We start from the raw sequence: 18018 nt of genomic DNA, 5'->3' as shown, positions 1-18018 counted from the left end.
GGAGGCTAAAAGCAAGATGAAGTCAGTTAGTTTAAATCTTTTTCACTGTTTCAGTTACAATTTTGCAATGGTGGTTCCAAAACTTTAAATGATGACTATCACAGTTTTCATAAATAATCTACATAAACAATTAAAATAATTAGGTAAATGTAATGGGATAAATAATTGTAGACAAACAGGTCATAATTTAGAATCTAAAGTTAAATTAAATAATAGATATTTCATTATTTGGATATTTTCCAATAAAATATATTTGTAGGAAAACATTCTTTCTTAAAAAAAAAGTGTGTCCTTTTAAAAAAGGGTGAACAATTTTTGTCTAATTCAAAGCTTATTTAAAGGTTATGTATAAAACCAGGTAAAATGAACCAGGAAATACAAGAGATGTAGAGAAAGTTATAAAAATAATTTTTTTTTTGGTAAGAAAGCTTAAAGAGAAATAATTTCAAATGAAAAATAATTTTGTATGAGATTCTTCATACGAGAGAGAATTTAGTCCTAGAGTAGAATGACTGGTTGTTTAAGAAAGAGGGATGTTCAGGACAAACCAGAAAGTCCAAGCATGTCATGAACGGTCTGTGTAAGTCACAATGAGAGGATTTAAAAATAAACTTTTATATTATCAAGTTGTCATATTATTAAGTTTTGGTTTGCTTAGGAAAAAACTGAGATTAAAAGTTTTTTTTTAAATTAAGGTTATTGCATCCATGTATCTCTTTGTATGTGCTTTTAAGGTACTTGTGACATTAAGTTACAGGCCTTTGACTTTTGTGTCTGAAAAGGACACCAAGTCCTGTTAAATTTTAAACACTGACAGCAATTAAACCCCATCTTCAGGCCAGGTAGAAGATGCCAATCAAAATAAACTGCATTCCTAAGACACTGGGCCAGAAATTAAAGCTATTCAACTCCTCAAGGCCCAGGAACTATCGTGGAAGAGGTGGGCGTATGAGACTGTAGGAACTGATTTTGAGAGATAAGTTCAGTTTCTCTACAAATTAATTATCAATGTCAAAGACACACTGATGCAAGACAAGCATATGGGTCCCTGTGTCTGATTAACAAGGTTTTCTTGAAGCATTAACTGACTCCTTAATAAAGGTTATAAAGGTTATAAAAGGCTTATGGAAGTTTTATCTTATGGTCAAAATTAAAATTTTATGGTTTATAAAATTTTGAAAAACAAATTTAATTGGCTTCATGCTGTTTTTATTCAGGCTTATTGTTTGGAAAATTAAGTCTCCTTTCCCAAAGAATGAAGGTTTTGCCTTTTTATCCTTGTGTTATCACTTTGGTTAAATGAAATGACTTATTTTACAATGACCTGTGATCCTATTTTGTGATATCAAGTGTTTTAAACTTTTGATATTTGACAAACTTTCCAAATCAAATTATAAAGTATGCCTTTTTCTTACCTAATTAATCCTTTAAGATATTAGGTTCCCTAAAGTCCAAAAATGACATATTTGGCTTTGGTATAAAAATTATGCAGAAAGCATTGTCAAATATAAAATGATGTTTGGTTTTCTTTGGGCTGTATTTGTATAAATATGCTATTGGTATGTGTTCTAAAATTATGGGAAACTTCCATAATTCTGATATGACTTAATGTACATTATCAGTAATAATTATAATTATGTTAAATTATTGTATGCCACAGAGGTAACAAATTTCTTTCCAATTGTGTCTTTGACTATGGCTGCCCTAAAACGTTTTGTCATCCACAGAAAATTGTCTTATTTTGGTCCTCTTTAGAAGGTGGTTTTATAATCAGCTATAAAACCCTTACAGGTGCTCCTGAATGCAGGTTTCTGATAACTGTGGAGACTGTGACATCAGAATAGAGGAAAAACTTTCAGGACTCATGGAGAGCTGAAATGTTCATGAATATTAAGCAGAACAGGAATTAACTGCATGGACTAAACTAACAGAAGTCTAAAGTAATCTTTTTAACTTTTTTTGTTTAAAACCTGCTCATCCTTTGTTTTTCAGAGTCAGGAAAACTTTTAAGCTATTTACAGCTTTTAACAATTGAGTAAAGTATACTCCTGTGAACAAAATGTGGAGCATATTTGTTTTCTCTCTACCTGCTTTCTCAAGAATTTGGAAACTATTGGCAACTATTTGTATTCTTAACTTACAGCAATACAGTTATTTGCGTAAGTGCAATAAGAATCTGTTTTCATTTATAACAGGACACAACTGGAGAAACTGGTTATTTTACCAAGGCTTAGGCTGGAATGGTGTGCTTTCCTTTAAAGAATCAAACTTGACTTATGGAGCCAATAAAAGCCTCTTGGGAAAACTGGCCTCATACATGTCTACACAGTCCCTGTATAGGGTTCCTGACCTGTGGTAAGTAAAGAATGTCACTTTCTGACAGGCCTAGGAGCTCCAAGCTTTATCTTAGAACCTCAAGAGGAGAGAATCACCCAATTCACAGGTATTTGATGATACAAATCCACGGCTGGGCTGGTTTTAAAAAAGTCTTATCTGAGGAGATTCCTTCTATTGATGTGGTGGCTCATACCTGTAATTTCAGTACTTTGGGAGGCCAAGGCAGGAGGTCATTTGAGCCCAGGAGTTCAAGACCAGTCTGGGCAACATGGCGAAACCCTGCGTTTACCAAAAAAAAAAAAAAAAAAAAAAAAAAAAAATTAGCTGGGTGTGGTGGTGCACCTGTAGTCCCAGCTACTTGGGAGGCTAAGGTTAGAGGATTACTTGAGCCCAAGAGGTTGAGGCTGCAGTGAGCAGTGATCACACCACTGCATTCCAGCCTGGGTGATGGAGTGAGACCCTGTCTCCAAGAAAAAAAAAAAACAACAACAAAGGTGCTGTATTAGTTATGTAATGTAACCTAGTGGTGTAAACCTGCTGCTGCTACCATTTTTACTCTCTGATGAACTTTAGAATCATTTTATCAGACTACAGGAAAAATTCTATTGGCATTATTAAAAGGAAATGACTCACATTATATAGTATGGCAACATCAAATCTTTACTGGTATAATAACCTCAGCTTCCCATGTATGAATATAGTATAGCTTTATGTTTGCTTCTATCCACATCAGCTAATTTTTACAGCTTTCCTCAAATAAGTTCTGAACATTTATTTTAATTATTAAAATTTGAGGCCATTTTTGTCTTTGTTGTAGTGGCTACATCAGTAACCAATAGTCAAGTAAGTGATCATATTTTTATTAGGTTTTCTAACTGGTTATTACTGATTCTATAAGGATACTGTGTTTTTAATTTGTAAACAAAATCTAACCTTCCAGTTGAATATTGTATGTTTTAGTTATTTTCACATATATATTCTTTTCTGCCTTTTAGTCATTACCTGCCTGTTTTGTTTTCATTTTCTTGGCTTAATTGGCTAGAACAATGTTAAAAAGTAGAGATGTAGAAGTAAAACACAGAAGCACAATGGTGTCTATGGATGTGTTTTCTTGTATTTGACAAAAAGATTCTAAATCTTATTTAGGAGTGAATATGAAAGCAGCAGAAGACTTTTCCCACTAGGTATTAGAACATATATTACACAGCTAAAATTGTGTGATATTGACATCAAAAGAGCCTAACTATACATACTTCTATTAAAATAAAATACTGAATATTTTTCCCTTGCAACATCAATTGGATACTGAGTTTTACCAAATGCCATTTTGGCTTCACTCCAGATAATAATGTCTTTTCCTTTTAAACATGTTTGTGATGTATTTTATTACAATCATTTTCTAATTTTAAATCTTCCTTACATTTCTGGAATAAATCATGCTTAGTTAAAAAAAAAAATGTAACAAAACACTAGCAGTGTAACTGGAAGGTTCAGAGTTTGCCATTTGCCTTCTAAAGGGAGATGAATCTATAGAGATCTTTAACTTTTTCAGTATTATCTAGGTTAACTTCCAGTATTTTGCAATGTAAGAAGACTCAGAAGGCTTGGCATATGCTTTGCACTCTGGCATGGTACCCTAAACAAATGAACTAATGAAACTGCCATCCACTGAGAGAGGAACTATTGTGGCTTTTTTTGCTTTCCCAGACACTGGTAGGAAAGGATAACTATAGTGTGAACCCTGAAAACCTGAGATAGGTCTCAGTTAATTTAGAAAGTTTATTTTGCCAAGGTTGAGGATGCACACCCATGACACAGCCTCAGGAGGTCTTGATGACATGTGCTCAAGGTGGTCATAGCATAGTTTGGTTTCATACATTTTAGGGGGACATGAGACATCAATCAACATATGTAAGATGAACATTGGTTCAGTCTGGAAAGGTGGGACAACTCAAAGTGGGGAGGGGGCTTCCAGGTCATAGGTAGATAAGAGATAAACGGTTGCATTCTTTTGGGTTTCTGATTAGCCTCTCCAGAGGCGGCAATGAGTTATACATTTATCTCAGTGAGCAGATGTGTGAGAATGGGAGGCAGGTTTGCCCTAAGCAGTTCCCAGTTTGACTTTTCCCTTTAGCTTAGTGATTTTGGGGCCCAGAGATATTTTCCTTTCACATTTCCCCCCCCTTTGTTTAAATCTTTTGGAGAAAGCATTTTAGAAGAAAAAGTCTCTGGGCTCAGGTTTCATCTTATCTCTCATGGCTAGGATGGTTTGTTCCTAGATGGGTAGGCCCTGAGTTATTAGGAAAGCTCATTTTTAGAAGGTTGTGAAGTCTCATGTCCTATGAAGAGAATATAGGGGAAGGAAGGGAGAAAAACAACAACAAACAAAATAATCCTGGAAAATCAATATAGATCACATTACTCTGAAGTCCATACATTAGTAGGCAGGTATGAAAGTGGCTTATGAATGTAAATAGATTGTTATTTTCTTCTGAAGTTTAAGTTGTCTAGCTTCAGTTCACAGGGCTTCATGAAAGCACAGCTTAGTTTTCAGTGACTTCAAATTAGGAAAAATGGGGAAAAAAGAAGAAAAAATTGAAAACATTATTTTGAAGACTTCTAGCCAAGAAAAATTAGAATTCAGTCCAAACTGTAGAAAATATTAAAAATTGAAAAACATTAGGCAAGACTAGAATCTAACAAGTGTACTATAGTTTTTGAAATGTAATTTTTCTCTCTCCAGTTCCCCATTTTTACTAAAGACAAATCATGGTAGGACTGGTTTGCTTTATTATACTTGGCCTAATTATTTGTAGACAGTGCAGCAAGAATAATGATTTTTTACATAGGCTTTTAAATTGGGTTTGAATGGCATTTTTATTCAGTTATCCTATTTTATGACTTTATCTTAAGGGAATTAGATTAGATGTACAAAACATATTTTTACAAGCATATTTTCAACAGTTACATATAAGGGAAAATTGGAAATAATCTAAGAACATGGGGTTAGCTAAATGAATTATGGTTACCTTAATATTACACATAATGTGTGATACCATAGTAACTATAAAATTGCAAGACAGATATATAAATACCATATAAGAAGAAAACAGTGCTGAGGTAGGCAGATCACCTGAAGTCAGTAGTTTGAGACCAGCCTGGCCAACATGGCAAAACCCTATCTCTACTAAAAATACAAAAAATTAGCTGGGCGTGATGGCACACGCCTGTAGTCCCAGCTACTTGGGAGGCTGAGGGACAAGAATCCCTCCAACCTGGGAGGCAGAGGTTGCAGTGAGCTGAGATTGCACCACTGTGCTCCAGCCTGGGTGACAGAGCAAGACTCTATTTCAAAAATAAAAAAAAGAAGTATCAAATTAAGAAGAAACTTCAAACTTAATAGAAACTGTAGAATCTCAATAATTCATATCAAAGGTTATAGTTCAAAAAATGGGAAAAGGCCATGTGATCGATACTTATGGCTACAGAAAAAGGTGCAGGGATGGCAGTTCAGATCTGAAGCTCATTGACGGCAGCTGCAGAGGCTACTGAGCATAGACATGGGTTCCAGTAGAAGGGCGTAGAAATGCTTTGTGTTCCAGATTTGTAAGTGTGCCTTGTGGTGCATATGAAGTGTTTAAGATATATTAAATGTGTAAATATAATTTTAAAATTAAGAGATTTTTATCTACAGATTATAGTTTTAATATTTAAAAGAATTTAATCTGTTCAAGATAGATGCAAAACATTGATCAAAAAAAGCATGTTCCTGCATTTATAAACTGCAATAATGAATAATAGATGTTTATACATTGAACTTAAAGGTTTAAGAAAAACTAGGTCTTGAAACAGAATTTTATTGAATTGAATATCAGTTGAAACAATCTGCTGAATTTCTTAACAGACACAAGAGCTTTCTTAGACCTTAAAAAAGAAAACTGTTGTCACTATAAAGCCATTAAAAAAATCAACTTGTAGAATAAAATAGTCACAACATAATAGTTCTCAGCAAATCTTACTTACATGGCAGGTACTATGCTTCTGTATTATCTAATTAATCACTATAACAACCCTAAGAAATATTGTTAGCCAGATTTTTTTTAAAAATTGAAACAATCAAAGTGAAGGGACAACCCACAGAATGGGAGAAAATATTTACAAACTATCCATCTGACAAGAGATTAATAACCAGAATATATAAGGAGCTCAAACAACAGGAAAAAATCTAATAGTCTGAGTAAAAAAATAAGCAAAAGTTCCAAATAGACATTTCTCAAAAGACAGACAGATGGCAAACAGCTATATGAAAAGTGCTTAACATCAATGATCATCACAGAAATACAAATCAAAACTACAATGAGATATCATCTAACCCCAGTTAAAACAGCTTCTATCCAAAAGATAGGCAATAACGAATGCTGGTGAGGATGTGGAGATGGGGGAATCCTTGTACACTGTTGGTGGGAATGTTAGTTAGTAAAGCCACTATGGAGAACAGTATGGAGGTTCCTCAGAAAACTAAAAATAGAACTACCATATGATCCAGCTATCCCACTGCTGGGAATATATCCAAAAGAAAGAAAATCAGCATATCAAAGAGATATCTGCACTCCCATGTTTATTGCAACATTATTCACAATAGGCAAGATTTGGAAGCAACATAAGTGTCCACTGATGGATGGATGAAGAAAATGTAGTACATATACACAACAGAGTACTATTCAGCCATAAAAAAGAATAGGATGTCATCATTTGCAATATGGATGGAACTGGAAAACATTATGTTAATTGAAATAAGCCAGGCACAAAAAGACAAACTTCATGTGTTCCCACTCATTTGTGGGAGCTAAAAATTAAAACAATTGAACTTATGGTGATAGAGATAGAAAGATGGTTACCAGAGGCTGGGAAGAGTAGTGGTGGGTGGCAGGGCGGGTGAAGTAGAGATGGTTAATGGGTAAAAAAATATAGTTAGATAGAATGAGTAAGTTCTGGTATTTGATAGAACAGGGTGACTACAGTCAACAATAATTTATTGTACATTTAAAAATCACTAAAATTATAACTGAAATGTTTATCACAGAAATAAGTGATGAATGCTTGAAGTGATGGATACCCCATTTACCCTGATTTGATTATTACACACTGTATGCCTGTATCAGAATATCTCACGTACCCCATAAATATATACACCTACTTTGTACCCATAAAAATAAAAAAAAAATAAAAAGAAATTGAGATGATGTACGTTGCCCAAGGTCAGAGAGGAAGTAGCAGAGCCTAGATTTAACCAGGAATCTGACCTCAGGAGCCTCTGTGCCTAAATGGTATACCACTGCCTCTAGTACCATTCCATATGAAAAGATCAACAATAGCATCACTGAAAAAGATTAAGAGACAATCAATTATGAACTTTTTTTTTTCATTTCTTAAATTTCAACTTTTATTTTAGATTGGGGGTACAGGTTTGTTATCTGGTATATTGCATGGTGCTGAGGTTTTCTAGACTGCAATACAGGCAATTCTTCAGTCTTTATAATTTTGTAAAAATCAATATAAACTTAGAAAAAAATTTAACTTATAATTCACCACTATTGTGGGGAAAAAAGAAAAGGAGCCTGTTAAAAATTTCCCTATCACCCATATCTGCCATTTAATTAATGTTACTAATAAGCTACCATATTAAATCTGTAATACACGTGGGTATATAATTTTATGTTAACAGCATTCAGTTTAGCTAAGAAATCTCATGCCCATAAAGTTTTTCCTAAATACCAAGACATCTTACCTTTTTCTTTTCTTTTTTCTTTTTCTTTCTTTTTTTTTTTTTTTTGAGACAGTCTCGCTATGTCACCTAGGCTGGAGTGCAGTGGCACGATCTTGGCTCACTGTAATCTCAGCCTCCCAGGTTCAAGCGATCTTCATGCCTCAGCCTCCTGTGTAGCTGGGATTACAAGCATGCCATCATGCCCAGCTAATTTTTGTATTTTTAGTAGAGATGGGGTTTTGTCTTGTTGGCCAGGTTGATCTCGAACCTCTGGCCTCAAGTAATTCACCCATCTCAGCCTCCTAAAGTGCTGCGATTATAGGTGTGAGCCATCGCACCCGGCCAGCTTTTTCTTATTAACAGTGTTTGAGACTAACTTGTTTATAAAATTCTTTCCAGCCAAAATGGGAAGGTACCAATATGCTTATGGATGTGAGGGTGCTTTGTGAGTGATGGGATTCTATTTCAGAAGCACCCACAAAATTTGTTAAGTATTTTTACTAACAAGTTCTTGAAAACTGACAGGAGATCCACTGCTTACCAAAAAGTTACCATGTATTTCTGAAATACTTTCCCAACAAAAGTAACATTGAAAAGAGTCCTTGTCAGATCATTACAAGTTTTTATACTTTAACTAAGTCCTATATCTTTTTTAGTATGATAGGATTTTTAATTTGGGAAATGGGAAAGCTTGATGGTATCTTGATGACACTTTCTTCTGAGAATGGCTTGGTAAAAAAAAAATTCAGGTAAAAGATATAATTGAAAAATTAGCTTCTAGTAGCTGTACTTCTGAACTTCAGGGGAGATATGCTTGGGTAGAGGGCAGATATTTTGATTTCTGGTACTTATTTTCCATCCCATATTAAGGCAGATTGGACTACTTTGGTTCTATATCCAGTTTTTATACGAAGAGAAAGATACGGCCTAACAAACAGATACAAAGTAATTAGTGGTTATCTGAGAATGCAGGTGAGAATGGCAGTGACTGCAAGTGGGCTGGAAGTTTCTTTCTGGGTTACAGAAATGTTCTAAAATTAGTAATGATGGTTGCATAATTCTGTAAGTTTATTAAAAATCATTTCATTTTACCCTTAAAACAATTTAATTTTATGATATTGAGTTATCACTCAATTAAGCTGTTTAAGGTATAGCCCACCAGGTGCGGTGGCTCACGCCTATAATCCCAGCACTTTGGGAAGCTGAGGCAGGTGGATCACTTGAGCCCAAGAGTTCGAGACCAGCCTGGGCAACATGACAAAACCCTGTCTCTCCTAAAAATACAAAAATTAGTCAGGCATGGTGGGGTGTGCCTGTAATCCCAGGTACTCGGGAAGCTGAGGCATGAGAATCACTTGAACCTGGGAGGCAGAGGTTGCAGTGAGATGAGATGGTGCCACCGCACTCTAGCCTGGGCAACAGAGTGAGACTCGGTCTCGAAAAAAAAAAAATAGCCCATCAAGATAAATTATTTCTAAAGAACTAGAAAACCAAGGAACATCCCATACTCTCTTATTAACTTCTGGGCTCACTTATCCCTTTAAAGTGTTGTACTTACCAGCTGAGCACTACTTTTGCAGTGACTCTGAAATAACACACATTTCTAAATTTTCTACAGACAAGATCAAGAACTATCTAATGAAAAGCAAACTGTTTAACAAAATTTGTGTAAACTGTGCTCTAAAAAACTTGTAATTAAACAACATAAAATGACAAGATGGATTTTCTAGCAAAATTCATCAAAATTTACTAAGAGCTAGATTAAAAGGGGGAAAATCGGTCTATTTCTCACTAAAAAAAAAAAAAAAATGGCCAGGTAGACCATTCAATACTTGTTGAAATGAATACAGTACTTACCCACAGCAAATATTAGCTGTACAAATTTGAAAACAATAAACTGTAGAACTGAGAGTATCTCACAAGCAGGGATGATCTGCAGTCCACAGTGTAGCACACAGGGATGGTGGAAGACTGCTCACCTGTATCAACTGTTTCTGCCTTAATGACGTTGATATAATAAAGTACCTTCAATACAACTGGAAGTTCCACAGGATATTTTAAAATCTGGCTTCTTTTTTTAGACATTTCCTAGCTGTGAGGCTTTCTGTTGGTGACTGGAAAATTTAATGATTAAATCTGATTCTTAGCATATTTTGGAAAGAGAGAAATTGCAGCCCTGGGATTGTGAAGCTAAAGCTCTCCAGAAGGAGAATCTTAAAAGAAGATGGAGTCACATGGGAAGTCGCTTTAATAATCCACGGTACAATATGGAAAATGCTGTAAGGTGAATGAATGGACAAATGAAAAAATAAAGGAGAGAATAGATAAATAGGTAGGTAGGTAGATTAACTAGATAGGTAGGTATGTTAATGGAAAGATAGATAGGGCTACCCAAACCCTGAAGACAGAAGAAGACTGTAAAACAAGGTCAAAGACTAGGGGATATTTGAAATAATTCTTCACATTTCCATTCAAATATACCCTAGATGAGAGGTTCTCAAAGTTAAGGTGTGAGAGTGGGGAGCATATCATGCATTTGAGCTTTTCCCAAATGATGGTTTATGCTTGCTCCCAACCCCTTTTCCCCAGCTCCATTTCTGACACATCTAGAGGTTCTGTAGGGTAGGGAAGACGGGACTCCCCAAATAGTGTCTTCCTTCTTGACCTAGATGTTTTCGGTGTTTAGTAGAAAGAGCAAGGCTGAGGCCGGGCACAGTGGCTCATGCCTGTAATCCCAGCACTTTGGGAAGCCCAGGTGGGTGGATCGTGAGGTCAGGATATTGAGATCATCCTGGCCAACATGGTGAAACCCCATCTCTACTAAAAATACAAAAGTTAGCCGGGCATGGTGGTGCGCACCTGTAGTCCCAGCTACTCAGGAGGCTGAGGCAGGAGAATCACTTAAACCCGGGAGGTGGAGGTTGCAGTGAGCCGAGATTGCACCACTGCCCTCCAGCCTGGGTGACAGAGTGAGACTCCATCTCAAAAAAAAAAAAAAAAAAAAGAAAAGAAAAAGAAAGAAAGAAAGAGTGAGGTGGAAATTTTCTACTTTCCATCCCTTTTTGGACTTATTGCTAGTGAAGTATGACATACCCATGGCCTCAGAGAATAAGCTGTGTTGAAGGCTTATCTTTGTGTTAAAATGCTTATCTACTTTAGCAGATGAACAAAGGAAGTCCCTATAATATAAACAGACATTTGCGCTTTCAATAACCTAAACTATCATTTTACTAATTCACAAAAAATCTTTACAGGATAGATATGTGGTCACTAGAATCATTTCGTACAAGATAGACACGTGGTCACTAGAAACATTTCATACAACTTGCATTACCTGTTCCATGTTTAATGGTCAAACAAAAGCAGCCAGCAGTTGTTTAGGCCAAACACCCTGGGGGCTTTATCAGTAAGGTTAAATATAACAGCCTAACTGAACAACAGTGATAATTATCTGCTTCTACATTCCTAGCTTTCCTTATATATCCCCAAGATTTATATACCTAGAAACTGATTCTCTTAGGTTTTAATACCTCAGGGTTTAATTTACTCTGTAACAGGAGGCTGCATAGATTACCTATTGAAGTGAGAGGTGTTGAAAAACTTAAAAAACATCCCATTTAGTCATTTTTGTTTTGTTTTGTTTAGACAGGATATCTTTCTGACATCCAGGCTGCAGTAAACTCCTAGGCTCAAGGAATCTTCCTGCCACAGCATCCTGAGTAGCTAGGACTGCAGGTGAACACCACCATGCCAGCTAATTTTTTAAATAATTTTTTTTTTTTAGAAATATGGGTCTTGCTATGTTCCCCAGGCTGGTCTCATACTCCTAGCCTCAAGTGATTCTCCCAAGTCAGCCTCCTAAAATGCTGGGATTATGGGTGTGAGCCACCACACCCAGTCCCATTTAATAGTTTTAAAATAAGATATTTAAGACTTATATTGGAGTTAATATTTTCTCCTAAGAATAATGGCTAGTCCAGGGAAGAAGGAAAAGCAAAACCTGAGTCTAGTAGTTTAACATTATATTCCCCAAACCACATAACACTCTCTAAATGAAACTAGAGATCTCCTTCTAAGTAAATAGATCATAATCAAAGTCAACAGTATATTTCCTTGTCTACCACAAAAAATTTCCTAGATTTGGAAACATAATCTTGTTGTAGAAAACTCAGGATAAAAAATGAAATGAAAAAAAAGAATAGTTCTCTGAAAATAACTTTATAACTCTCTATTTTAATACAGCTCTTGTATTCTGTGACCTTCAGATTATTTTAGAAATCCACATATTGATTGCTCCCTCTACCACATGGAGACCAGTGTATATATTTCATACCATTTCAAAACAATGTTGCAAAGCATAATAAAAACAGGCGACTGAAACGGGTATTTAAAAATGACTTCTTGAAACATTGCTTGCTGTTTACTAGTGCAATGGAAGAGATATTACCTCTCTGTTTTGAGATTTAAGCAAAGTTACCTTTAAGCAAAAATCTATAGAAGTGAGTTAGATAATCCTGCTCTGTATGGAGATAAAGGCAGAGACTTGAGGAGAAACATTTAACCAGGTGCTGTGGCTAGAACATTTGGTGGTTATAGCGGATGGCACATGCCTAAGAACAGGAAGTTTACTCAATCCCTGTGCTGCTGCAGAAATGGCACCTAGATACACTTCAATATCATTTCCTTGTAGGAGTCTAATGTCTAGAATTAGACATTGATATTTATTTAAAATATAATGGGTTACTGGTTATTACATTTGTGCTTTGTGCTCTGTGCTAACAAAATGAGTTCAAGAAATAGCTTAATACAGCCTGAGAGGTTTAGGGGCACATTTCCTAGAAGCAGGAATTGGGCACTGAAAAATTATTAAGGAGAAGGTTGGTTCTAGAATCTGTACTTTGAACAGTTTATTTCCATCACTTGCTGCAATTTACCAGGCCTTAGTATGGGGCATTGTGGAGTGGGGAGCATGAGGGCTAGAAAGCTCCTAGTGTCCTGAAGTCCTATGCTTCAGTCCACCTGGATTCTTCAAGGTAGAGCAGGGTCTTCATTAAAAGGAAAGGAAAAAATAGAGAAAGGGAGACAACACAGAAGAACCAGAAAGGACTGTAAATCCTCTATTTTTCATTCTCTTATGCCAACCACAAAAATGTTCCACAAATGAAGTAATAAACAATGTAGACCATTCATATACAGTCTATACTATTTTCTGCTTCCATTTAAAAATGCAAGGCTGTTTTTCTTTTCTTTATTAACTTTTAAGTTCAGGGGTACAGATGCAGGCTTGTTACACAGGTATATGTGTGTCATGGGGGTTTGCTGTACAGATTATTTCATCACCCAGGTATTAAGCCCAGCATCCATCAGCTATTCTTCCTGATGTTCTCCCTCCTCCCACCCTCCACCCTTCGGTAGGTGGGCAGCAGTGTATTTTGTTTCCCTCTATGTGTCCATGTGTTCTCAATATTTAGCTTCCACTTATAAGTAAGAACACATGGTATTTGTTTTTCTGTTCCTGCATTAGTTTGCTAAGGATAATGGCCTCCAACTCCATCCATGTCCCTGCACAGGACATGATCTCATTCTTTTTTATGGCTGCATAGTATTCCATGGTATATATGTACCATATCTTCTTTATCCAGTCTATCATCAATGGCCACTTAGGTTATTCTGTGTCTTTGCTATTGTGAATAGGGCTACAATGAACAGACATGTGCATGTGTCTTTATAACAGAACGATTTATGCAGGGCTGTTTTTCCAGAGTTGCTTTTGCATGAGTGACTAAATAAGCCACTGCTTTCAAGTGGTATGAAACTGTAAAAAGGTAAACCTTCTCTAAAGCTATTAAGGTTGTTGTAATAGGCTGTAGGTTCTCCTAGAACTTAAACTGTTATGTTGCTTTTAAATAAATAATTGTCTCTCAAAAGCACTTATTTGACCAGTGCTTCCAATCATAGGCTTCAGAGATTGGCTTCTGCAAATAACCTAATAATGATGATTTATGTTCTTCAAATTTGGCTCTAGGAAGAGGGACGCAGATATCTCAACCCAACCCTTCACTGAAGACATGAGGTAGAGACACGAAGAGAATAACCTAAGACATGAAATTTACCTAAAAGATTAAAATCATGCATCTAACAATGCCATTTAAACAATTTTAAGGAATGCAAGTGACAATGATATTGATACTTAAAATATACAATATTTATCTATTGAATTTTCATTTATTCTAATAAATCAAGGAAATGAAGAAACTGCCATAAAATGTAAATTTCCAAAATGTTCACTAGAAAGTTTGTATACTTAAAAAAATCACTTGGAAATAAATTTGGTTTATTCATCATAGTACTTAAGTACTGTTTTAGATAACATTAGTGGTTTAGTATATTCAGAATGGCTACCAACAGACATAGTCTTCTAGGGAAAAATAAGGTTCTTTAGAACTAAATCCCTATGTTGCTAGCTCTAGAGCAAGTAAACTAATCCAGCAACCTTCAGGGAATGGCGCATTTCTCTCTTAAAAAAGGCAGAACAGCTCACTCAAGACTTTTATTTCCATTTGTGACCAACTGTGCTGGTTCACAAAGTTGCAAAGCAAAGTTTCTAATAAACAAATGTGTCTTTTGTTGCCTACTCTACTAAAGTAATGCCCCCTGTACAGAGCTTGAACATTCCATCACAAAGCTTTGGTGGCTGCTGGCACAATAATGATTGTGGAGTGTCTATTTGTACACCATTAATTATGCTGTGATCCCTAGTGAACTGCCTGTTTTTCTTTCGCAGAAACCTAGAACACAGTATACAGCTCTTATTTTGTATTTCTTTTAGATATATTATAAAACAAGAAATTTAGTTCCAATGTATCCAAGCTGTCCCTTCGGAAGGTGATCAGAAGAGAGAAATGAGTTTGGAAAAGAAAAGGAATAGCTGAACAAGAGTAAGAGTTTCTGCAATAAAGCCTTAAAAGAGAATAAAAATGTGGAAAAGTGAAGGTAGACACTGCAGCTGCACTTAAATAGTTCTTAGGAGCCCAAAGTAAGACATGTTCTGTAAAAGTAAAACTTACAGGGGGATCAATCCTTGCCATTAAAATCCTGAGTATTTGGATGAAAATCCAAATTGTGGTGGGAACTGTGGGCAGGTGCTCTTACACAGCAACGTGATATTGAAATTCTACAGACTGAACTGAAATATTTCGACTGTGGCAACAGTAAATCGTATACAGAACCACAATTAAAACTAATTTACCATGTGAAAAAGTCAGATACTCTCTCAGGAACAGTTCATTATTGTATGCAAATAAACACAGCATAAGTATATAATAAATTTTAGATTAATAATATATAAAATATAATTTTGATTATTTATATAATCAAGGCTTTCATCTGGGGCCTTGATGCTCGTCTTTCTTTGCACATTAAGTCAGTTTTTCATTTTCACATTCTTTTCATATCCCTCGTATGTATATGAAGGCAAGTGATTTCAGAAATCTAAACCCTGAGAAAACATGGGTAACAGAGAAGAACTTCTGCTGTGATATCTACTTCTGCAGGGAGTAGAGAAACAGAAGTAGAAGGTAAATCTGAGGTAAGCCAGAACTCATTTCTTTACTTCCTATTTGAAGCTGATTTCCCCTATACCTTCTCTGACAAATCGTAGGCAAAAGAGTTCTTGTGACTAAATATTTCCAAATTACCAATAATAAGAACTTCCTACAGAATGTCTCATTGACAAATTAGCACACAAGCTTCTACCCTATTCTAATTCATGGATAAGGAACACTGGAAAGTTATTTTGAAACAAATCCCATTAAAATGTAATTTAAGCTGTAATCAGAACGGAGCATAAAAACTGCAGTGAGCTGCTGGTAGAATCATAAATTGGTACCATTCTTTTGAGAATCTCTTTGTAAATATATGATGAGCTTTAGAAATGCTTTTATCTTTTGACATAGTAATTCTACTACTGTTCAGATTTTGAAATTGTGGATAAGTGATTCTGGATCTGTAAGACTGAAAAACCAGAACCACACTGTCCATCAAAATGGGACTAGTTACATTATAAATAAATGTATATTATATAAAGAAAATTGTGTTATATAAATTACATGGTTACTGGAAGGGTGATACTACATGGAACATTTACTTCACTTTTTATCTTTTTTTGCATTGAAAAAATAAATAAGCAGCATGTTTTAATTTTACTGCCTAAAAAGACAAAGGTTGTTCTTCTTATTGTTTTTTTTAAGAGAAGGGGTCTCACTCTGTCACCAAGGCTGGAGCGCAGTGGCACAATCATAGCTTACTGCAGCCTCTAACTCCTGGGCTCAAGCAATCCTCCTGCCTTAGCCTCCTGAGTAGCTGGTACTACAGGTGCACAATACTATGCTTGGCTAAGATAATTATTTATTCAATAATATTTAGTGAGTGCCAACTATGTACTAGTCACTGTTCTAGGGATATAACAATTTTTTAAAAAGTCGCTTCCCTCATGGAGCTTGAATTCTGCTAATGTAAGACAATAATAATGAAAGATTAAAACTGCTACGAAGACAAAGCAGGATGGGACGTTAAAGGGTGGCTATTCAATTAGGCTCACCAGGCTTATGAGATAACACTCAATTTAAACACTCAATTTGAGTGTTATGAGATAACACTCAATTTAAAATTTTAAATGAACAACCATTGTCAGAAAGAAAAATCAGTGCAACATCAAGTCAAAAGAACATCAGGAACATCTATGTTCCAACCTACTGAGATCCAATTACAGTAAATGCCCTCTAGAAACCTGTACTAATATAACTTTCTAAAACTAAAAAGATTCCTCTGAAGATGCTCCCATACTTACTCAATTATGGATTTTTGCCTTTGAGTTCTTTTCTATTTATAATAGATCAAAATAGCATGTGTATAGTATTCTAATTACACTGGTCATGATGGACTTTTATTTAATTGATCATCCCAGTGCTGTTTTTTTAAAATAAGTGTTTAACGCATATTAGGTTTTTTAAAAAAGGCTAAAGATGCAATATTATAAGCAGAGGAAGAATAAAAACAAAAGCATTATGTGGAGACATAAAAGTTAAAGCTATCAAATATCTAACAAGAATTCAGAATTTGACCTTCAATGCAGACGTTTTTAAATTTTATCTTGAGTAAACGGGATAGAAACTACAGGTATAGAAAACTTTTAAAACTGTACCCTGGGTTGAATGAAAAACAGTGACCAAACTCAAGATACCAGTACTTGCCGGTTAAATATGTAGCAATGGTTAATACTATTGCTGATAGCCTAGAAGGTAAAGTAAACAGACAGCCAACAAAGACAGAATTATTTATGTCCTCCTGTTCTGTGCAGAATTGGGTCCTAAGTGCTAAGGAAGGCGGCAGAAGAGAAAGCTGGCTCCCGTCCTCAAGGCATTTTTGATTCAGTAACTGCTTTTTCCCCTCTTCCCAAGCAGAAGTCACTTAAAAAGAACAATGAGAGATAAAAACTTTTACAAATTAGAAAACAGCCTGAAATAACATTTGAAGTTTAGTGAAACCATATGCCAGGTAGATGTAAAAGTGAAAAGTAAATTCAAATGACAGAAATAAAATGGGAAAAAGACTGGTTATATATAACTTAACAGGAATTTTTAAAACGTCTAGGGTATATAGATAAAAACTGAAAATAAAATCAGAAATAAGTAAAATAGTCTCTCTCTCTCTGTTAATAGCCTTTTAAAATGCCAAGCTCCGCCTATCAGCAGTGAATAGAAAATCAGCCAAGTACTTATCCTATTTGGTTTGGCACTGGTCTATCCATGGGAGTGAACTATGATCAAAACTGTTTTCTAAAGGGTGAAATGGGCTTAGAAAAACACAGGATGATTAAAATCGCTGTCTCTAAACCTGAACATAATGCCAAGAGG

General features: G+C 35.4%; 1 protein-coding gene and 1 long non-coding RNA gene across 17 annotated transcripts in view; one reads left to right on the top strand and one right to left on the bottom strand.

Moving 5' to 3' along the window:
- Nucleotides 1-18018, bottom strand: part of SGMS2 (sphingomyelin synthase 2) — a 90485-nt gene that overhangs the window by 26026 nt on the left and 46441 nt on the right. The window lies entirely within an intron of this gene.
- The window catches only part of CYP2U1-AS1 (CYP2U1 and SGMS2 antisense RNA 1), a 68641-nt gene that overhangs the window by 43098 nt on the left and 7525 nt on the right, over nt 1-18018 (top strand). The window contains exons 3-5 of the long non-coding RNA NR_125929.1: nt 2196-2355; nt 14934-15042; nt 15578-15692. This is a non-coding gene — a long non-coding RNA (CYP2U1 and SGMS2 antisense RNA 1). The remainder of the gene's footprint in view (nt 1-2195; nt 2356-14933; nt 15043-15577; nt 15693-18018) is intronic.

This window comes from Homo sapiens, chromosome 4 (genome assembly GCF_000001405.40).
Source record: "Homo sapiens chromosome 4, GRCh38.p14 Primary Assembly".
NCBI classification, from domain to species: Eukaryota; Metazoa; Chordata; class Mammalia; order Primates; family Hominidae; genus Homo; species Homo sapiens.
This window is presented reverse-complemented; position numbering and strand designations above follow the sequence as displayed.